The sequence below is a fragment of the Homo sapiens genome, chromosome 1 (assembly GCF_000001405.40).
Source record: "Homo sapiens chromosome 1, GRCh38.p14 Primary Assembly".
In the NCBI taxonomy this organism is placed as follows: domain Eukaryota; kingdom Metazoa; phylum Chordata; class Mammalia; order Primates; family Hominidae; genus Homo; species Homo sapiens.
Window position 1 is genome coordinate 228,337,385 of NC_000001.11, and position 18,844 is coordinate 228,356,228.

Here is an 18,844-nt window from a genome sequence, read left to right on the forward strand (position 1 = left end):
TGGGCGGCTGGAACCCTCTGGGAGCAGGGCAGGGAGAGGCCCTGACCTTCCTGAAGAGAAGGTGCAGGGTGGAGAGGGACTCAGGAGGCAGGACCCCCATGGGACTCTAGGGAGGTGGGACCGCACCAAGGTGCATAGGAGGCAGGAACTGGTGAGAACAGGGTCTTCTCCTCACGGGGCCCGGCAGAGACTTGCCTTCTGGGAGAGCCATTTGTTTGATTCATTCATTCACTCCTTTGTTCCTTCAATGGAGAATGTGTCTCAGGCCTCAGTGTACCAGGCACCCTGTTAGGGCTTGGGGTGGGTGTGGAGATGGGGAGAAGGTAAACAAGTAACTGAGTGTAGGCAGTCCAGGCCTGGAGACCCTGGGGCTGTGGTGACCTCTAAGGTTGGGGGTGGGGCAGGGGAGGTCTCCCACATTCCCGCTGTTCTGCGTGGAGGGGGAACTGGGCGTGTGCACGCTGACTCTGGGGATCCCTGCCCTGTGGCTTAGGATCTCGGCAGGCCCGGCTGGCACCTCCCGGGTCTCACCACTTCAGCACCCCCATCCCTCTCTCAGATCTTTGACATCTACGTGGTCACCGCTGACTACCTGCCCCTAGGGGCTGAGCAGGATGCCATCACGCTGCGGGAAGGCCAGTATGTGGAGGTCCTGGATGCAGCCCACCCACTGCGCTGGCTTGTCCGCACCAAGCCCACCAAGTCCAGCCCCTCACGGCAGGGCTGGGTGTCACCAGCCTACCTGGACAGGAGGCTCAAGGTATCTGAATGGCCAGGCAGGAGGGGTCCTCAGGGGTCCCGGAGGCCCCTAGCAGGGTCGTCCCAATTTGAGGGGCGAGAGCCCGATCCCCGCGGGGCAGGGCCAGAGCTCAGTACCCCAACAGAAAACTCCTGTCCCTCACCAGCTGTCACCTGAGTGGGGGGCCGCTGAGGCCCCTGAGTTCCCTGGGGAGGCTGTGTCTGAAGACGAATACAAGGCAAGGCTGAGGTGAGTGACTGCCGGGCCGGAGGTGGTGGCACTGGCATCCCACCAGCTGGACAGTCTCCCAAAGAAGCAGGCCGCTTGCCCTGGCTCTGGGTCCAGGACCTAACCCTGGAGGTCTTGGGGTCATGGCCATGCTGATTCCTCTGCGGGGGCCTCTGAAACAGCGCTCCTGTGTGAGCCTGTTAGGGACGGGTGGGGGCCGAGGACAGCAGAGCAGGCCCAGAGCTGCCTGGGTTCCCGCAGCTGCCCTCCCAGCCTCGTGCTGGCAGGACCCATCTGGGTGGCTTCCTGATGTTGGGGCCGGCCTTGTCCAAGAGGGAGCCTCTCTCCACCTGCTCTCCCACTTCCTGCGAGCAGGCAACAGGCTGCGCAGCAGGAGGCGCTCCCATCTAGCAGCTGAGGGAGTGGGGGCCTCGTGGCCCACAGTCCCTGCACGGGAAGCAGGAGCTCCGTGGTCCCTTACGGCAGCCCCCTCCTGCCCAGCTCTGTGATCCAGGAGCTGCTGAGTTCTGAGCAGGCCTTCGTGGAGGAGCTGCAGTTCCTGCAGAGCCACCACCTGCAGCACCTGGAGCGCTGCCCCCACGTGCCCATAGCTGTGGCCGGCCAGAAGGCAGTCATCTTCCGCAATGTGCGGGACATCGGCCGCTTCCACAGCAGGTGGGTGGGTGGGGCCACACACACACACACACACACACACACACACACACGTCCATGCATGGACACACTGTAGGGCCAGGCCTCCTGCAGGTGGGTTGGAGCCAAGGGGGGAGAGAACCTGTGCTGACTTGATTTATCCCTCAGCACCCCTCCCCTCAGAAACCCAGACATGTGTACCTGGCTTACTCATGGGAAGGCCTGCGGTGCACCAACTGCTAACTGGCATGTGCGCAGGCCCAAGTGCATGCACACCCTCACACGTGTGCACACATGAACACATACATGTGTACAGGTGCAGCCTTTAACAGCATACACCCATGTGCATGGCACATGTGCACATCTGTAAATGCACACACATGCACACAGTACATACACCCACATACACGTGCACATCACCTATGTGCACACAGTGCATGCCTATAGACGTGCACACGCATATATGCCTGTGTACATGTATATATGTTATACACATGGACACACATATGTACATGCCCCCACACTATCTCTGCACATCTATGCATATGCACTTCTGCACACATGTGCACACCCAGCATGTACATGCACACCCTTTTATCTGCACACTTTAATACATGCACGCATGCGTATAGCATACAACACCTCCTTCCTCCACCACCTGCCTGTGTATGCAACCACATGTGTGCTCATACACATTTACATGCCTCCACAAATGTGCACGCCCACATACATGTACATATGTAATATTCATGTGAGCTTTCATACACGGCACACAAGCACTTATTTGCATGCCCACACATGTCTGCACGCACACTCTCACAGACCCCAGGAGCCACAGGGCCCCAGCCCTTGTGCAGGGGCCAGCTTCCTCCCAGAGGTGAGGGCTCAGGGCCAGGCTATGGGGCGCAGGCTGAGTCCTGATGCCATCCCCCTTCACAGCAGCTTCCTGCAGGAGTTGCAGCAGTGCGACACGGACGACGACGTGGCCATGTGCTTCATCAAGAACCAGGCGGCCTTTGAGCAGTACCTGGAGTTCCTGGTGGGGCGTGTGCAGGCTGAGTCGGTGGTCGTCAGCACGGCCATCCAGGAGTTCTACAAGGTGCCCATGCCTGAACTCATGGGCTCCTGAACCTCAGTGCCTGCCCTTGGCTCCCTTTGAAGGCTCACTGAGCCCAGGCGTCCTCCAAGGTTCATCCTGTTCTGCCCACATCAGAGCCTGCGCTCATCTTCCCCGACCTCGCCACTGCCCACAGCCTCCCTGCACCCCCCTTGGGCCTCAGTTCAGAAATGCGGGTGGAGCTGCTTTTGCAGCCCTGTGCTTCTGGGAAGGCCACTTCAGCAGCCCAAGTCCTGTGCTTGTCACCTGTCAGGAGGTGATGACAGCTGTCACCTGGGGTGTAGGCTGTGTGTGCACCCTGGGGACCCACCCTCCAGCTCTCAGGGACACAGCCATCAGTGGGCCTTGCACTCCTGCCCTAAAACCCACCCTCCTGGTTCCCACAGAAATACGCGGAGGAGGCCCTGTTGGCAGGGGACCCCTCTCAGCCCCCGCCACCACCTCTGCAGCACTACCTGGAGCAGCCAGTGGAGCGGGTGCAGCGCTACCAGGCCTTGCTGAAGGTGGGCACCACCTCCCCTGCCCCGCCTCCTCTGCCCAGGCTGGGTCTCTTGGGTTCCAGCCTGTGGAGCATTCTAAGCCCTGACCTTCGCCCCGGCCCCAGGAGCTGATCCGCAACAAGGCGCGGAACAGACAGAACTGCGCGCTGCTGGAGCAGGCCTATGCCGTGGTGTCTGCCCTGCCACAGCGCGCTGAGAACAAGCTGCACGTGTCCCTCATGGAGAACTACCCAGGCACCCTGCAGGCCCTGGGCGAGCCCATCCGCCAGGTTGGGGAGGGCCAGGGGCCGGGGCCGGGAGATGCATGTGATGTGGGTGGGTATTGGGGTGCTGGGGGCTTGTATCTGGGGCTGCCAGGAGGTGGCGGTGTGTGCATGAGTTGGGCAGAGCACTGGGTACCTGGGTGGCTGTGGGGCCTGCACCGCTGGGCAATCTGGCCCACCACAGGCTGACCGCAGCCCACACCCTCCCCCAGGGCCACTTCATCGTGTGGGAGGGTGCACCGGGGGCCCGCATGCCCTGGAAGGGCCACAACCGTCACGTGTTCCTCTTCCGCAACCACCTGGTAATCTGCAAGCCCCGGCGAGACTCCCGCACCGATACCGTCAGCTACGTGTTCCGGAACATGATGAAGGTCTGCAGGCTCTGGGCTGCTGGGCGGGGCTCCCTGTCCCTCAGCGCCGGGGTGGATGCCAGTGGCCACACCTGCAGCCGCTGGTCCAGGGTGGCCTGAATGTTTCCTCGTCGGGTCCCACATCTGTTGAGGATGGTCAGCCCGTGTCCCCCTCCCTGTGCTGACACCCTCCCCCACCCACAGCTGAGCAGCATCGACCTGAACGACCAGGTGGAGGGGGATGACCGCGCCTTCGAGGTGTGGCAGGAGCGGGAGGACTCGGTGCGCAAGTACCTGCTGCAGGCACGGACAGCCATTATCAAGAGCTCGTGGGTGAAGGAGATCTGTGGCATCCAGCAGCGTCTGGCCCTGCCTGTGTGGCGTGAGTGTCCACCTTCCCGGGGGCCCAGGTGGCTGAGCCAGGATGGGGCACCCGGCTGCAGCCGCACAGGTCCCTGCCTGGGTGGGTGTGAGGGGTGGGCTCGTTCCTGGGACAGACGGCTACAGCCTCATGGGGAGCCCCTGGGCTGGGTGTTGGGTTGGCCCTGATCCAAGGTCGGGGATACCATGGGGTCCCCAAGCTCAAGGCACCCATCCGGATCATGTCAGGGGCTGTGAAGGGTCTGGCAGCCCGGGGTCTGCTTCCTCAACCAGAACAGAATCTTCCCCCGAGCCCCCACTGCTCTCCATTTAACATGCACCTGCCTCACTCACCTGACTCCAGGTGGGGACCTTGGATGAGGGGTGACAAGGGACAGTCCCCATAGGGGCCACACCATCAGATGTGGGGCTCATGGTGCAGGGCAGGTGACCTGCCAGGTGCACCTGGGGGTGCCGCAGCCCGATGTCCCCCCACAGAGCACTCAGGGCTGTTGTGTGTCCTCAGGGCCCCCGGACTTTGAAGAGGAGCTGGCCGACTGCACAGCCGAGCTGGGTGAGACAGTCAAGCTGGCCTGCCGCGTGACGGGCACACCCAAGCCTGTCATCAGCTGGTACAAAGGTAAACCCCGGGGCCAGGGGCTGTGGCCTTCCTGTCCAGGATGCAGGCCCTGCAACAGAAAAGAGCTGCCCGAGAGAAACAGGCTGTGAGGGCTGGGGACCCAATATGGGATTTGGCTGGGAGTCTGGGGCATGGACAGGCCTTATATGTTCACTTGCCACCCGCCTTCCGAATCAAAGACAGCATGGTTGGGGACACGGAGATGCCGAGGCTTGGAGAGGAGGGAGTTCAGTGGGGGCACTCGGCTCTGCAAAGCTGCTAGTCCCATAGTCAGGGCTGATTGTGGCCAAAGGGCCCAGGTTAAATTAGCTGCCGGGAGAGCCACCTAGGGAAAGGTCCAGGCGGCACTATGCATGAACTTCCAGTTGTCCCCTCCTGGGGGGAATCATTTCTGCCAGTGACAGCACGTGACGACATGCACGGGATGGTGCCAACCAGGTGCTTCCCTGGCCATGGTGTCCAGGGTTTTGCAGGCTCAGCTGTGGAATCCTGGCTCACTGCTCTGTGGTGGGCCTTGGGCTCCAGCCCTTCTGGAGGCCAAGTTGATGCTGCGTGGCCCAGGGACCCCTAGGAATCTCAGAAATCTCACGGTCAGCATAGATGATCCCATGTGGCCCAGGGCTCCCAAGGAGAACAGATGCTTTTACCAGACAGGATATCCTAAGAGCCTGAGATCACCTCCCAGGAGCTGGGGGCCTCTCCCTGGGGAGCATCAATCCTCCCTTGTGCTGGAGCCATGTTGGGTTTCAGCAGCAGAGGGACACAGTTTGGCTCTGTCATCTGTCACCTTGTCTGTAATGCCAGGAACCTGCTGGGGAGGGCCAAGAGGGGACCTGGGACACCAGCCTGGGAGCCACCGTGCTGGAGCTGGGGACCCAGGCTCAGGGGTGGCTGTGGATTCCAGGGCCGTGTTGAAGGCTGAACTGGCCCGATTTGCTGATGGGGTGGCTGGCTGTGTGGAAAGAGCTTGGCATCCAGATGCTCACACAGTTGGGGCTGGACATCCACCAGGGTGGTTCCTTTTACAAAGGTGGAAGGCTGGGGAGAGGCGGGGTGATGTGCAGACAGGGCTGGGTGGGAGGAGGAAGCACCAGGCCTGGGAGGACCCTGCAGAATCGAGGTGCCTGCAGGGATGCAGGCGGAGGCGCTGAGGGGCGGTCGGAGAAATACAAGTAGGGCTCAGGAGAGGGATGTGGCCGGAAACGATGAATGGAACGTCGTCAGCTCACGGAGCGTCTGACCTGCCAGTCGATGCAGACGCAGAGTGCGTGTGGAGGGGTGAGGCCCAAGCACCCAGGCTTGAGAGCCCCCACTTCCAGAGTCTGCAGAGATGAGGGGACACGAACCCAGGGGAAGGAGCGGCCAGGGAGGTGGGGGCCCAGGAAGCCAGCCAGGGAGAAGCCAACGGGGAGTGGGCAGGGGGCGTCCAGGGCTGCCAGGGTCCCCAGAACTGTGGAATCTCCCATTCTACCCCTCACACATGTGCAAGTCAGCCTGTCACGGTTTACACACATACACATTACACACACTTGTACGCACACGTACATAGCGACACATAGATACATGCTACACACTCATGCATATGTACATACACACCATATATATGCATTACACGTGCATGTACATTAACACTATATGTGTAATATACATAGATGCACGTCACACATACAGATACTACACATACATGCATAGTATACAATACATATACACAAATACATACCACACACATGAATATGTACATAGATACACATTATACAGGTACACATATATGCACACATAGCACATGCACATGGATCATGCACAAGTGCACACTACATGCACCTATACAGCTACATAGATATATACACAGATACATGCAAACATGCACTATACACATACAGAGATGTATGCACATTACACACACAAGTACATACTTTACATATGCACACACACTTTATACACAGCTACACATGTGCATATATGCACACACTGTACACATATAAATATACATATTAGAGACCACACATATGTGCACACATAGATAATACTGCACACATATACATATGTACATAGCCACATACCATACACAATACACATGCACAGATACATGCAACACACATACATGCTACACGCAGACACCACACATGTATATTCATAAATACTACACATTCATGTGCATGCATACATACACAGTACACATATATACACATAGACCCACCATATACATAGGTACACACAGTCATATGTACTACACACATATCTGCATGTAAACATGCACAAATGGTACATATACACATATATACATGTATAGTTACTTGCACACACACACAAGACACAAGACCTGTTGGTCCAAGACAGAAATGGTTCATCACTCAACATGAGGCAGCAGCCAGGACAGGCTCTTGCCGCAGCTCTCAGGGGTGGTGTGGGAGAAACCTGCACATGCATGCGCTGCACCATGGATTTCAGGGGCTGCATCTCACCACCTCGGGTGTCTCCAGGGAGGGAGGCATCTCTGCTCCACTGTCCTGGAATGTCTCCTTGTGTGAGCGCTGCTGTCTGGAGCATCTGGGCTGGCCAACTGTGGGCCATTGTGCCCCAAGAGACCCAGCTCCACCCTACTTCCACAGGCTCCAGCCCCTGGGGGATTTTCCCACACTTGTGCCCAGCCCTCAGCCATCCTGGCTAATCTGACTGATGCTGGCTGGTATGCCGTCCTTCCGGTGTGACTCAGGCTGCATTTACTCAAGCCTCTCAGCAGGGGAGATGCCAGCCTGTGGGACTGCCCTGGACCACCCCAAGGCACCAGCCAACATGTGTGTGGCTCCCACACAGGAAGTCTTGAGAACACAGTTATTGTTTACAATTTGGGGGCTCCTACGAAGGCACACATCAGTACTGATTGATGGTACCTCCCAGATGACCCCCCAGGGGGTCACCTGGGCTGTCAGGTGAACCTCATCTGGCCTGGCTGACCGGCCTCCAAGCCCCCAGTTCAGTCCTTATAACCGAGTGCTGTCCTGGTGTTGCAGGCACCATCTGGGCACTCAGCCCTTCCTGTTCTCCCTGTCCATAGCAGCCGGGCCCGCGGGTCTGCCCATGACTGAGGACGGGGCTGGAGAGGAAGGACTCCAGGGAGTTTTGCCGGGGTGTGTGGGAGGGGCCATCCCAGTGTCCACTGGTCGGAGCTGATGAACGCAATGGCTTGGAGGGCTGCCCTGGGATACTTCTGGAGGAAGGCTTGGGTGGGTCATTAACGCCTGCTCCCTGGGGTCTTAGGAGCTCCCCTCCTGCCACCTGTCCAGACCTCTCCTCCGGGAGGTTAGGTTCAAGAGGAACAAAAGCTTTTTTATCAAAGCCTGCCAGAAGCCAGTTGAATGCCCTGAGCCCCGCTCCCTTTGGACCAGGCTGCCACCAAGGGGTGGTCATGGCAGAGCCTGGGTTTCCCTGTGGATGGAGGCCCTCCCCTGTCCCTTGCTTCCTAACCACCAGCCCAGTAGGCAGCTTGCAGGAGATAGCTCCTCTCTGGGGACAGCTGCACTTGGTGACCGGACTGCCTTCCAAAGGTCCGCAGGCCAGTAGGAGGTGGGCGCAGTCAGACCGCCATCCCCTTGCTGAGTGGCTCTTGTGGTAGATGTCATAGGACATCAAACTGCAGGGGGTGTGTGTGGCACACGTGGCTCATGTTAGCCACACGCTTTCATGGTGTGGCTGGAGACCCAAAGCAGCCTCACAGCAGGTGGCCTCCACAGAGACCCTGGAGAGGGACAGCTGGCCTAAGGGCCATGGAGAACATTCCCCTCGGCCCTCTGCAGGTTCACTAAACAATCACTTGCAAAAGGCAGACAGATAGGAGGAAAGGCAGACACACTTATTGAATGTGTAGACACTGGATCCTTCAGAATGAAGACCCAAAGACCCAGAAGAAGCTGTCCATTTTAATGCTTAGGTTCCATAAAGTATGGACAACTGTGTGGAAATAGGATTGGGCAAATAGGGTTGGATCTAGTGAGAACAGACTGAGTGGGGACACCCCGCTAGGCCTGTCTGTCTGGATTCTTCTTGGCCTTCTGAGCAGTGCCCTTTTCTTCTGGGTGAGAAGCAGGACCCTTGCTGGAATGGGGGTCTTGGATCCACAGCCAAACAAAGTAGGTCAGATCATTTCTTCATGGCCAGGTTTTACACAGAACGATGGAGAGAAAATTGGAGTCCTATTTTTAGGCTTTCTGGCTGGCTTTAGAGAAAAAGGTGTCCTGGTTTCTATGACCCACCTTGGGGAAGAGGGATTCTGTTTCTATGTCAGCCTGGGAGGAGAATGAGGGGCTAGAGACAGGAGGGGAGGAGAAGGTCAGAGATAAAATTTTGCTTCTGAGGCTGCTTGGGAAGCCCTCATTTTGGGGTCTTGTTTTCTGAGCCCCAACACTGGGTTCATAGGAGCGGTATGCCAGGATGGAGAGTGGGTTCACCATGTGTACTGTGTCTTCCTTTCCTGTAGGCTTGAGAATGTCTCTCCAGGATGTCCCCAGTCTGACATGTGATGTAGATTTCTGCATCTGTGCCCTGCCTGTGGTGGGGCTCAGCGATGTGGTGTCCTGGGGGCTCTGCACAGGAGCCTTGGCGGTCTGGCCGGGGTGTCCCCATCAGCAGCCTTGATTCACTTCATTGTTCATTGCCCCAGGAAGAGGTGTCTTTAACTTGCCAGCCTATTTAAAATTATCTCTGATCCTGGCATGGTGTCGCATGACTGTGATCCTGGCTGCTTGGCAGGCCGTAGCGGGAGGAGTCCATGCACTCCCTGCCGTGTCCCCTCTGCCTTCCCTTGGGGGAGTTTGTTGTCTCGGGGAAATTGCTTGAGCCAGGAAAGGATCTGTGGTATAGAGGGGATGGAAGGGGTCAGAGGACAATGACGGAACAAGGCACCCCTCTGTGGCTCAGCCAACCATGGAGGTAGGACCCCGTCTCTACCGCAAACACAGAGATCCTCTACTGTCACCCCCAGAAGAATGGAAGGCCAGCATGGTGGATGCAGGAGGCTGCTCCACAAGACGCCCAAGCTGTGGCCGTTCTTCCTTAGTGCAGGCTCGGTGCCCATCCTCTCCCCTCCAAACCAGCCAGACCTAGATGGGCTGAGCCCTCTCCTGCCTCTGCCCATCGTGGCTGCTGGTGGCCCTCCCCAAGCACTCAGTTCAGGCACGAGTGTCCGTGGCTGTGGTCTGAACAGGGTTAGAATCTTCCTCAGATCCAGCGCTGGCTCTGGCATTTATTGTGAAATGGCTGAACTGAGGCTGAACCAGCAAAGTCCCTGGCAGGGATTGGAGAAAGAGTGCCAACCAAGGCACTGCCCAGGTGTCTGTGTTTGAACCCACTTCTCAGTGCTCAGCATGCAACTACCTGCCTAGTTTCTCTCCTTAGCAGGGCAACAAAGTAGAGAAAGAGATCCACAGGGCCGCTTCTTCTTTCCCTTCCAGAAGGCCATGCCTCTGACAGTGTCACTTCCCTGTCCCCAAAATTGTAAACCAAAAACTGTGAAGGGCCCAAAATTTTACCCCACTTGCAATCTTGCAAGCCAGCCTGCCAGCCAGATATAGACAAAAGACACAAGACTCATGGGTCAGAGACAAAGACTTTTTACCAGCAGTGCCTCAGTGTCTCTCATCATTGCCCCCACCCGTTTCTGTGAGGAGGTGATGGAGCTAGGTGTTAGTTGCATGCAGGGGTTGTCCCATGAGAGAGAAACCGTGAATCTTAGGAGACATGGAGCTCTTTTTATGCGGCTGCTGGTATATCTGCCCATGCTTCACTCCAGAGATAGGGGGTGACTTCCTACCCTGGGATGCAGAAATGTCTCCCAGGAAAGGAATGGAAGGGTTTTGTCTCTGTTGTCCTGGAACACAGCCAGGCAGATGGGCATCTTCTGCTTCACTCTCCTTACTTTCTACTCTACTCTCTTCTTCTTCTTCTATTCTAAACCTGGCTGTGAGTGCCTTTGCTCAGAGGGCTGAAATGTGGAATCTGAATTCCAGGGAGAATTGTTTTCCCACAGCAAGATGAGGACAGAGCTGCTGGTAGCGTGGCGGCCCTGACAGGAGCTTTGGGGGAGAGAACTGGGGCCCAGGGGATGGGCTTAGTGGGGATGGGAAGAGACGCCTTGGAGGGTGTGAGCACAGCTCCTTTCTGGAGTTGCCATAAAGGGGTGTGGAGATCTGAGGTGGTAACCAGAAGGTTTTTGAAAAAAATTATTTAAAATTATTTCTGAGCTGGGTGGGGTGGCTCACACCTATAGTCCCAGCTACTCAGGAGGCCAAGGTGGGAGGATCACTTGAGCCCAGAAGTTTGAGACCAGCATGGGCAACAGAGTGAGGCCCTGTCTCTACAGAAAGTTAAAAAATTAGCCAGGCATGGTGGTGCACCTGAGGCGGGAGGATCACTTTTGCCCATAAGGTCGAGGCAGCAGTGAGCTGTGATGGCCCCACTGCACTCCAGCCTGGGCAACAGAGCAAGACTCCGTCTCCACAAATATATATGTGTATATGTGTGTGTGTGTATGTGTGTGTATAATGTATATATATCTTATAGTTCTATACAAATCATAAGTCGGTGCTGGTTGTGACCTTTGTGATTTAAGCAATCTGTGGGGCACACCCGGCACTATTGGAATGTGAATCGATGCCGTTTTATGTATTTAGACATTATGTGGGAAGGAGTTCTCCACAGTGAGAGGCCGTGCCTTCCCATCCCTCACCCGGGAAGGAAGCATTCCTTGGCCAGAGGTGTAGTCGGTTGTGTGTTCATACCAGGGTGATTTACTTCACATTCTTCAGTCTTCAGATTTTCGTATTAGAAAGCCGTGCGTTTGGAGGCACGAGGATGTGGCCTGGGAGAGGAGAGTGGAGTTGAGGGTGAGACTTTGGGCTGCTGTGTCCTCTGCAGGGGCAGGTTTAGGGAGAGGAGGCATGGAGGGCTGTGGGCAGTGATTTTGAGAAGGGGCTGCAGGCCCTAGGCTGGGCAGGCAGGGGTGAAGAGGGGATCAAGGTGCTGTGAGCTGGGGTGCAGTCAGTGCATTAGAGGTCCTCAGAGTATCACAGGACTGCTGAGAGCTGGGGTGACCAAGGACTCAGCTGCCCATAGAGGATGTTCTCTGTGGGGCTCAGGTCCCTTGGCCTGCCCCCTGCCTCTAGCTAGTGTCCAAAGTGGACAGAGAAAGAGACAGACAGTGAGAGACAGAGAGACAGAGACAGACACAGAGACAGAAAGGTGCAAAAGGCACAGACAGAAAAACAGACAAAGACAGAGACATGGAGTCAGAGACAGAGATACAAAGGCAGAGACAACAAGGAGACAGAAAGAGAGATAGAGACAGAAAACAGAAACAGACACAGAGATAGAGACAAAGAAAGAAACTGAGTCTAAGACAGAGGGACAAAGAAAGATGGAGATAGAGAGGCAGAGACACAGAGAGAAGGTGAGCTCGTGTCAGCCTCTCCCTCCAGGGTTGCAGGTCAGCCTGGAAGCTGGACCTGGCAGGGAGCCTGTGCCTGGCCCTTGTGCTACAAGCGTGGCCCCTCCATCCCCTCCCCGACCATAACTGCAGCCCCCAGGCCAGGCCCAGCTTCTCCCCGCTGATGAGGTGAGCCCTTGGGTCCCCACCTGGGTGACGGCCCCCGCTCGTCCTTTCCAGATGGGAAAGCAGTGCAGGTGGACCCCCACCACATCCTCATTGAAGACCCTGATGGCTCGTGTGCACTCATCCTGGACAGCCTGACCGGTGTGGACTCTGGCCAGTACATGTGCTTCGCGGCCAGCGCCGCTGGCAACTGCAGTACCCTGGGCAAGATCCTGGTGCAAGGTTAGCCTGAAGGCCTTCCTGGGGGAGGAGCCGCCCTGAGCCTCCCACCATGGCAGGCCCAGCTGCGGCGGGGTGGTGGGACAGTGGGGTGGACACATCTGACCATGTTCTGAGGGGATCATTGGGGGATCATAGAGGGCACTGGGAGGGGTGGGGATCCTGCAGCCCCTTCCCTGGCATCACTCTCAGCTCCATCATGGCATCTCTCTGTCTCTCTGTATGTCTCTGTGTCTGATGCACTGTATCTATCTCTTTCTGTCTTTGTCTCTCCTTGTCTGTATGTCTCTATCTCTGTCTTTGTCCTTTGATCTCTGTCTCTGTCACCCTGTCTCTGTATGTCTTTTTCTGTCTCTGTCCTTCTGTTTCTGTCTGTCCATCTCTATCTGTGTGTCTCTCTGTCTTTCTGTTTCTCTGTTTCTCCATCTCTGTCTGTCTCTGTTTCTTTATCTTTGTCTCCGTGTCTATGTCTCTGTCTCTTTCTGTCTCTATCTCTGTTTCAATTTCTCTTTCTCTGTCTCTTTCTGTCTCTGTTTTTCCATCTCTGTCTCTTTGTCTCTCTCTATCTCTATTTCTCTCTGTCTCTATATTTCTCTGTCTCTCTGTCTCTGTATCTTTATCTCTGTCTCTCTGTTTCTCCATCTCTTTCTTTCTGTCTCTGTGTCTCTTTCTTTGTAAGTCTTTCTGTCTCTATCTCTGTCTCTGTGTCTGTCTCTGTCTCTCTGTCTCTGTCTCTAATGTTTCTATCTGTCTCTCTCTCTGTCTCTTCCCTCCACAACCCCACAGTCCCACCACGGTTCGTGAACAAGGTCCGGGCCTCACCCTTTGTGGAGGGAGAGGACGCCCAGTTCACCTGCACCATCGAAGGCGCCCCGTACCCGCAGATCAGGTGGGGCCCAGGCCTGCCCGGGGATGGGGCATGAGGGGGTCGGCTCCCACCTGGAGCATGGGGCACGGGCCATGTGTTCCCGTGTCAGGGTGGGCTAGACATGGCCACTGGCCTTCAGCTGAGAATGGGCTTCGTGGGGCTCTGGTTCATTCTGGATGTGCGGCCCCCCTCAGCCGGGAGGACACGGCCAGGCTCTGTCTTGGCTTCTGGAAGGGTGGGCTCTCTGAGGACCCCTGGGGTCTGAGGGCAGGGCAACCGGGTCGTGAGCACAGGTAGCACAGCTGGGCGTGGCCCTGAGATAGGACATAGGAGGATGTCGCCGGCGGGGTAGAGCATGGCCCAAGTCCTGCCTCACGTGCCCTCCGGGTGGATTCCAGGTGGTACAAGGACGGGGCCCTGCTGACCACTGGCAACAAGTTCCAGACACTGAGTGAGCCTCGCAGCGGCCTGCTAGTGCTGGTGATCCGGGCGGCCAGCAAGGAGGACCTGGGGCTCTACGAGTGTGAGGTGAGGAGTGCAGGAGTGGGGACCGGCCTCGGGACCCAGGCCATCCTTGCTGGCCATCCTCTGGGGTCTGATTGTGGAGGGGCTTAAGAGCCCGGTCCCTGTCCTCAAGGTAGGGGGCTCTCGGCAGAGGCCAGGGGACACCATACCCGCTGCTACACCCTTGATGACAGGCCAGAGGCCACCATGCCACTGTCACCCCCCCATCACAGGCCGGGGGCCACCAGGCCACTGTCACCCCCCATCACAGGCCGGGGGCCACCATGCCACTGTCACTGTCATCCCTGGCCACACCACTGCCCCATGCCCTGGCCTCATTCTTCCTCTGCCTCTAAGCCTCTTCTCTGCTCCCATGTCAATCTGGATGCCTTCCTTGACTTCCCTGGCCATTTCAAGGATGCCGCTTGGTTTTTGCCTTTGGGGGACCCGGCTGGCCTCATGAATTTTGTCATTCGTGTCAAATGGAGTGTCAGTCATCCAGTGTAGCCCGGCCCTGCTCAGGTACCTTTTACCTGTGGAGACATCCAGCCTACGGGTGGACAGAGCTGCCTTCTGCTCCAGCCACTGTGTCTGCAGGGCCGGGGCAAGGGCTCCTCAGGGTGGGGCCCAGGCCCAGTTCCAGTCCTCCGGTCCTTCAAAGCCTGCAGTGCTCGTGGTGGTCGTGGTGGCTGTGTGCCAACTACGGGTGCCCCAGGCTCCAGGCGCTAGCTTCTGTCCAGTTCCTCCAGGGGCACTTGTCCGGCCACCACCTCCCGCCGTGTGGCTGCTGCTGTGAGCCTGTGGGGAGCCTGCCCCACACCACTCTGGCTGGAGAAGCCAGAGACCCAAGTGAGCTCTTGATTTGCACTGTCTGATACCATCACTAGCCACACACGGGGATTTAAATTTAAATTTAAGTCAACTAAAGTTAAATCCAAAGCTAGGTGCTGTGGCTCACGTCAGTAATCTCAACAATTTGGGAAGCCAAGGCAGGAAAATCACTTGAGCCCAGGAGTTTGAGACCAGCCTGGGCAACATATTGAAACCCTGACTCTGAAAAAAAAAGAAAAGCTAAAAAATTAGCCAGGCACAGTGGTGCACACTTGTGATCCCAGCTACTCGAAAGGTTGAGGTGGGAGGATCCCTTGAGCCCAGGAGGTGAAGGCTGTAGTGAGCTGAGATCGTGCCATTGCACTCCAGCCTGGGTCACAGAGCGAGACCCAGCTTTAAAAAATACATAAAATGAAGTTAAGTTCAGTTAAAGATTCAGTTCCCTGGCTGCTCTGGCCCCATGTCCCATGCTCAGAGCCGCACGTGGACAGGGCAGATGGAGAGCATCCTCATCACTGCAGGGGGCCCTAAGGCCGTGTGGGTCCCCCAGGGATGCTGTGGCGGGGCTGGGGCCCTTCCCCTTGTGGGAGACACACCAGGATGGGGGCTGCCCGTGCTCCCAACATGGCCACAGGGAGAGGGCCCTACCCGTGGGGAGCCTTGGGCTCTGAGCCGGCCCTGCCGTCCTTGCAGCTGGTGAACCGGCTGGGCTCCGCGCGGGCTAGTGCGGAGCTGCGCATTCAGAGCCCCATGCTGCAGGCCCAGGAGCAGTGTCACAGGGAGCAGCTCGTGGCTGCAGTGGAAGGTAAGTCCCACCCCTGTCCTCGCCACCAAGGCGGCTCCCCACGGCCCAGACCCAGGCTGGACCCTCACAGGCCTGGCCGTGTCCAGGAGGACAAGACTCTCACCCTTCCCAGTCAGGGTCTGCTGCCTGGAGGACCCTGGAGGAGGGGCTGGGCTGGCACCGTGGGGCAGGGAGAGCCACAGATGGTAGACGGGGAGGCTGCTGTGGGCCAGGCACAGGTCCCAGCCCCCTGCTGGAGGCAGCACCTGTGTGGGCTGGTGGAGGGTAGCCCCTGAGCCCAGGGCTTGGATGGAGGCTGGAGAGGTCACTCTGGGTGGGCGGGGTTCCCAAAGCCGCTGCGTTCCGGAGAGGGGAAGCCTGTGCGCAGAGGCCAGGCCTACACCCAGGGCAGCTCGCCGGTGGCAGACAGGAGGCGGTGGGCCTAAGGCAGTGGGGAGGTTGCAGCAGGAACAATAGGAAGGACATCTCTGCAGAGGGCCAGGCCGCTGGGCCCCAGCTTGGCTCCCAGGAGAAGGAGCAAGTGTCAGGGGCCTGGCCCCTCTATTCAGGGTAGGGCTGGCTGTGGAGATACCTGGCCTGGTTTGGGGCTGCTCCTGGGGTCCTGGGAGGGCCTTGGGCTGCAGAATGACTTCACTAGGGATGAAAGGTAAGGGGTGGAGGGAGAGGTGGGGCACATCACCTCATTTCTCCAGGCTCCCGGATGCTTTGTTCAGGGCAGGGGCAGCCAGGATGGGAAGAGGGTCATCGGGCATCCGTCTTGGGCTCCCAGTTGGAGCTGCCCGTCTGGACAGGTTTTGAGCCTTCCATCCCTGGGGACATGCAAGTGGAGGCTGGCCCAACACCTGGCAGAGCTGCAGCTGCCACTGTGGGAGTGGTTGGAATACATGTCCTCCAAGTCTTAAACATTGGCTCCTGCAACCCCACCTCAACTGTCTCTCCCAGTGCCCAGTGTCTGAAAGCCAGTTGCCCATCTGGACCCCACAGAGCTGGGCCATCTTTGATGCCCTCCATGACCCTCAGGGAGACCCCTCCCCTGCTGGGCAGAGGTCCTTGTTCCTCAGCCCACACGGTGCCACTGGCACTGGCCAACCTCCGACTGTGAGTGCCCCATGTCTGACGTGTCTCTGGGGGCCCTGAGACCTCCGTCAGCCCCACAACTGGTGGCCATAGCACCACACAGAACTGCTTCTGGAGCCGCCAGCACCTCAGCCTCCCATGAGTCTTGTGTCTCATGGCCAGCTGGGACACCCAGGGCTGCCTCTTGCTGGTGACAGGAGCGTCCTCCACAGTCGTTCACTTGGCTGTCACAACAAGTCTTTCTCTGGGTCTGGAGGAGGGGGTGGCAGGGGAGAGAGGCCACCAGTGCTGGACAGAGTGTCAGCGCCTCAGCAAGGTGAGAATGCAGGTCCTTGAAGAGCCTGGAGCTGGAGCCAACGCCTCCCCGCTTCTAACTCCTATCCTGCTGCTTCATCTTTAACCCAGCAGCTCTGCAGCCCAAACAGGCCCTGGCAGGCCTCTGCGGGGTGGGCGCTGCCCCCTCACTTGTGAATCATGCTGCGCACGGCTGCATCCCTCCTGTAGTCGCAAATACTCACTCTGGCCCACAGCCGATCAGGTGACAGTTTAGGTCCATGAATGAAGGTGCCAGAGAGTGTATGGGCCCAGAGGTGCCTGGCTGTCAGCCCCAAGTGCAGGGAGGATGAGTGGGGAGGCCCCGGGTTTTCCCATCACTCTGTGCAGTTCCCATCACTGGCCTGCAGGTAGTGGACACATTGGCTTTCTCTGGGGTCAGCTTAGTCTAAACACACAGAGCCTTTTGGTTGGATCTCATTCTCTCCTCACATGGGCTCTCCTCTCTCCAGGGGGAGCCTGTGAAATACACACCTACACATATGTATACACGTGCATGCACACACGTATGCATGCACATACATCTGTGCACATACACACACTTGCACATGTGTGTGCACAGAAATGCACAGTACTGTGGCTCCCAAGTGCACATATAGACGCAGGCAGTCCCTGAAATTCACGTGCTCCTCACCTGAGACAGGTGTAAAGCCTTTCTCCACATGGCAGTCTAGCAAAGCAGATGGTGTCCCACCCCCTGACCCGGAGCTGTGAGGCCATGTGCCCCAGGCCACGTCACTTGACTTCTGGGCCTCCTGCTCGTTTTTTTCCCTCAGGGTGCTGGGGAGGGTCACTGAGATGTGAAGGTGCTGGTGGCCCGTGGACTGCCCGCTGGCCAGCTGGCTTGGGCTGGGAGGGGGCCATCTTTGTGCCCTGATGATTCTGCCCGGGAGCTGCAGGGGAGAGTCCTTGAGGTGACTGGGAGGAGGAGCTGCCTGATCCCAGATGCGTCCCATCCGATCACTGGAACCACAGGCCCCATCCTGCTGGCTCTGGGGAGGGAGGCAGCTAGGAAAACCTGGAGAGACCATGGAGTGTGTGGACTGAGGATGCTCCTATAGGGAGATTTGGGCTGACGCTCACTCAGAGCTCAGCACCCTGCCCAGGCATCCCCTGGGGCTGTTCTTGGTAGGACTTCTGTGGCTTTGCGCCACAAAGCTCAGTTGTGCCACTTTCAGGACTCCAGAGTCCCTCTCTCCTGAGGATTTTTTGTAACAGAGTCCCCAGCTGCCTCAGCCTCAGTGTGGCCGCTGGCTCCCTGTGCAGCCACAGGCCATTTATTCCCTTCTAGGACTCGGTTTCTATGTCTGAGAAGTGGGATTGTAGGTCTGACAAATTCACGGGGCTCCCTTGGCACATGGGTTGAAGGAGAAGCTGGAATTTCTGTGCAGGGAGCGTAGGTAGGGTCCTCATTCTCCCCCCAGTCCCTGCAAGACCCTCGAGAGGGACAGTGGGTCCTGCCTTCACGAGGGGAAGCATTGTCCTCAGCCCTCATTCCGCAGCCACTCAGGACAGGCATCGTCACCTCCATGTCAGAGGCCCAGGAACTGGGGCTCTGAGTAGACAGGCTGCCCAGGGGCAGCTTAGCAGGTGACTACAACGCTGTGCCACTCCGATAGCTCAGCCCCTAGCACTGGCTGGTCTGTAACCCTCGCTATTCCGACTGTTTTCTTTGTAGTCACTGAGCAAGAGACTAAAGTCCCCAAGAAAACCGTCATCATGTAAGTGCAGGCGTGTTCCTAACCTTCCTTCTGAC

The 18,844-nt window shown here is 57.6% G+C and overlaps 1 protein-coding gene across 4 annotated transcripts in view, besides 2 other annotated features; it reads left to right on the forward strand.

Moving 5' to 3' along the window:
* Nucleotides 1–18,844, forward strand: part of OBSCN (obscurin, cytoskeletal calmodulin and titin-interacting RhoGEF) — a 170,833-nt gene that overhangs the window by 129,341 nt on the left and 22,648 nt on the right. For 3 of the 4 annotated variants that reach the window (NM_001386125.1, NM_001271223.3, NM_001098623.2), the window contains 13 exons: nucleotides 560–760; nucleotides 906–988; nucleotides 1,469–1,642; nucleotides 2,561–2,717; nucleotides 3,122–3,238; nucleotides 3,340–3,504; nucleotides 3,711–3,869; nucleotides 4,053–4,230; nucleotides 4,735–4,848; nucleotides 12,506–12,673; nucleotides 13,457–13,559; nucleotides 13,937–14,066; nucleotides 15,567–15,678. In NM_001386125.1, coding sequence (NP_001373054.1) covers nucleotides 560–760; nucleotides 906–988; nucleotides 1,469–1,642; nucleotides 2,561–2,717; nucleotides 3,122–3,238; nucleotides 3,340–3,504; nucleotides 3,711–3,869; nucleotides 4,053–4,230; nucleotides 4,735–4,848; nucleotides 12,506–12,673; nucleotides 13,457–13,559; nucleotides 13,937–14,066; nucleotides 15,567–15,678 — 1,861 coding nt within the window. Of the gene's footprint in view, nucleotides 1–559; nucleotides 761–905; nucleotides 989–1,468; nucleotides 1,643–2,560; nucleotides 2,718–3,121; nucleotides 3,239–3,339; nucleotides 3,505–3,710; nucleotides 3,870–4,052; nucleotides 4,231–4,734; nucleotides 4,849–12,505; nucleotides 12,674–13,456; nucleotides 13,560–13,936; nucleotides 14,067–15,566; nucleotides 15,679–18,766; nucleotides 18,810–18,844 lie in introns of all 4 variants that reach the window. The other variant, NM_052843.4, reaches the window with a different exon arrangement.
* Nucleotides 3,684–3,978: an enhancer, noted in NCBI's record as "tiled region #4086; HepG2 Activating non-DNase unmatched - State 12:CtcfO, and K562 Activating DNase matched - State 4:PromP". NCBI's record gives its function as "activates a minimal TATA promoter and a strong SV40 promoter by Sharpr-MPRA in HepG2 and K562 cells {active_cell/tissue: HepG2 | K562}" and the evidence as "EXISTENCE:reporter gene assay evidence [ECO:0000049][PMID:27701403]".
* Nucleotides 13,782–14,281: an enhancer, noted in NCBI's record as "H3K4me1 hESC enhancer chr1:228538867-228539366 (GRCh37/hg19 assembly coordinates)". NCBI's record gives its function as "activates a minimal SCP1, AML or CMV promoter by ChIP-STARR-seq in primed H9 embryonic stem cells {active_cell/tissue: H9 hESC(primed)}" and the evidence as "EXISTENCE:reporter gene assay evidence [ECO:0000049][PMID:30033119]".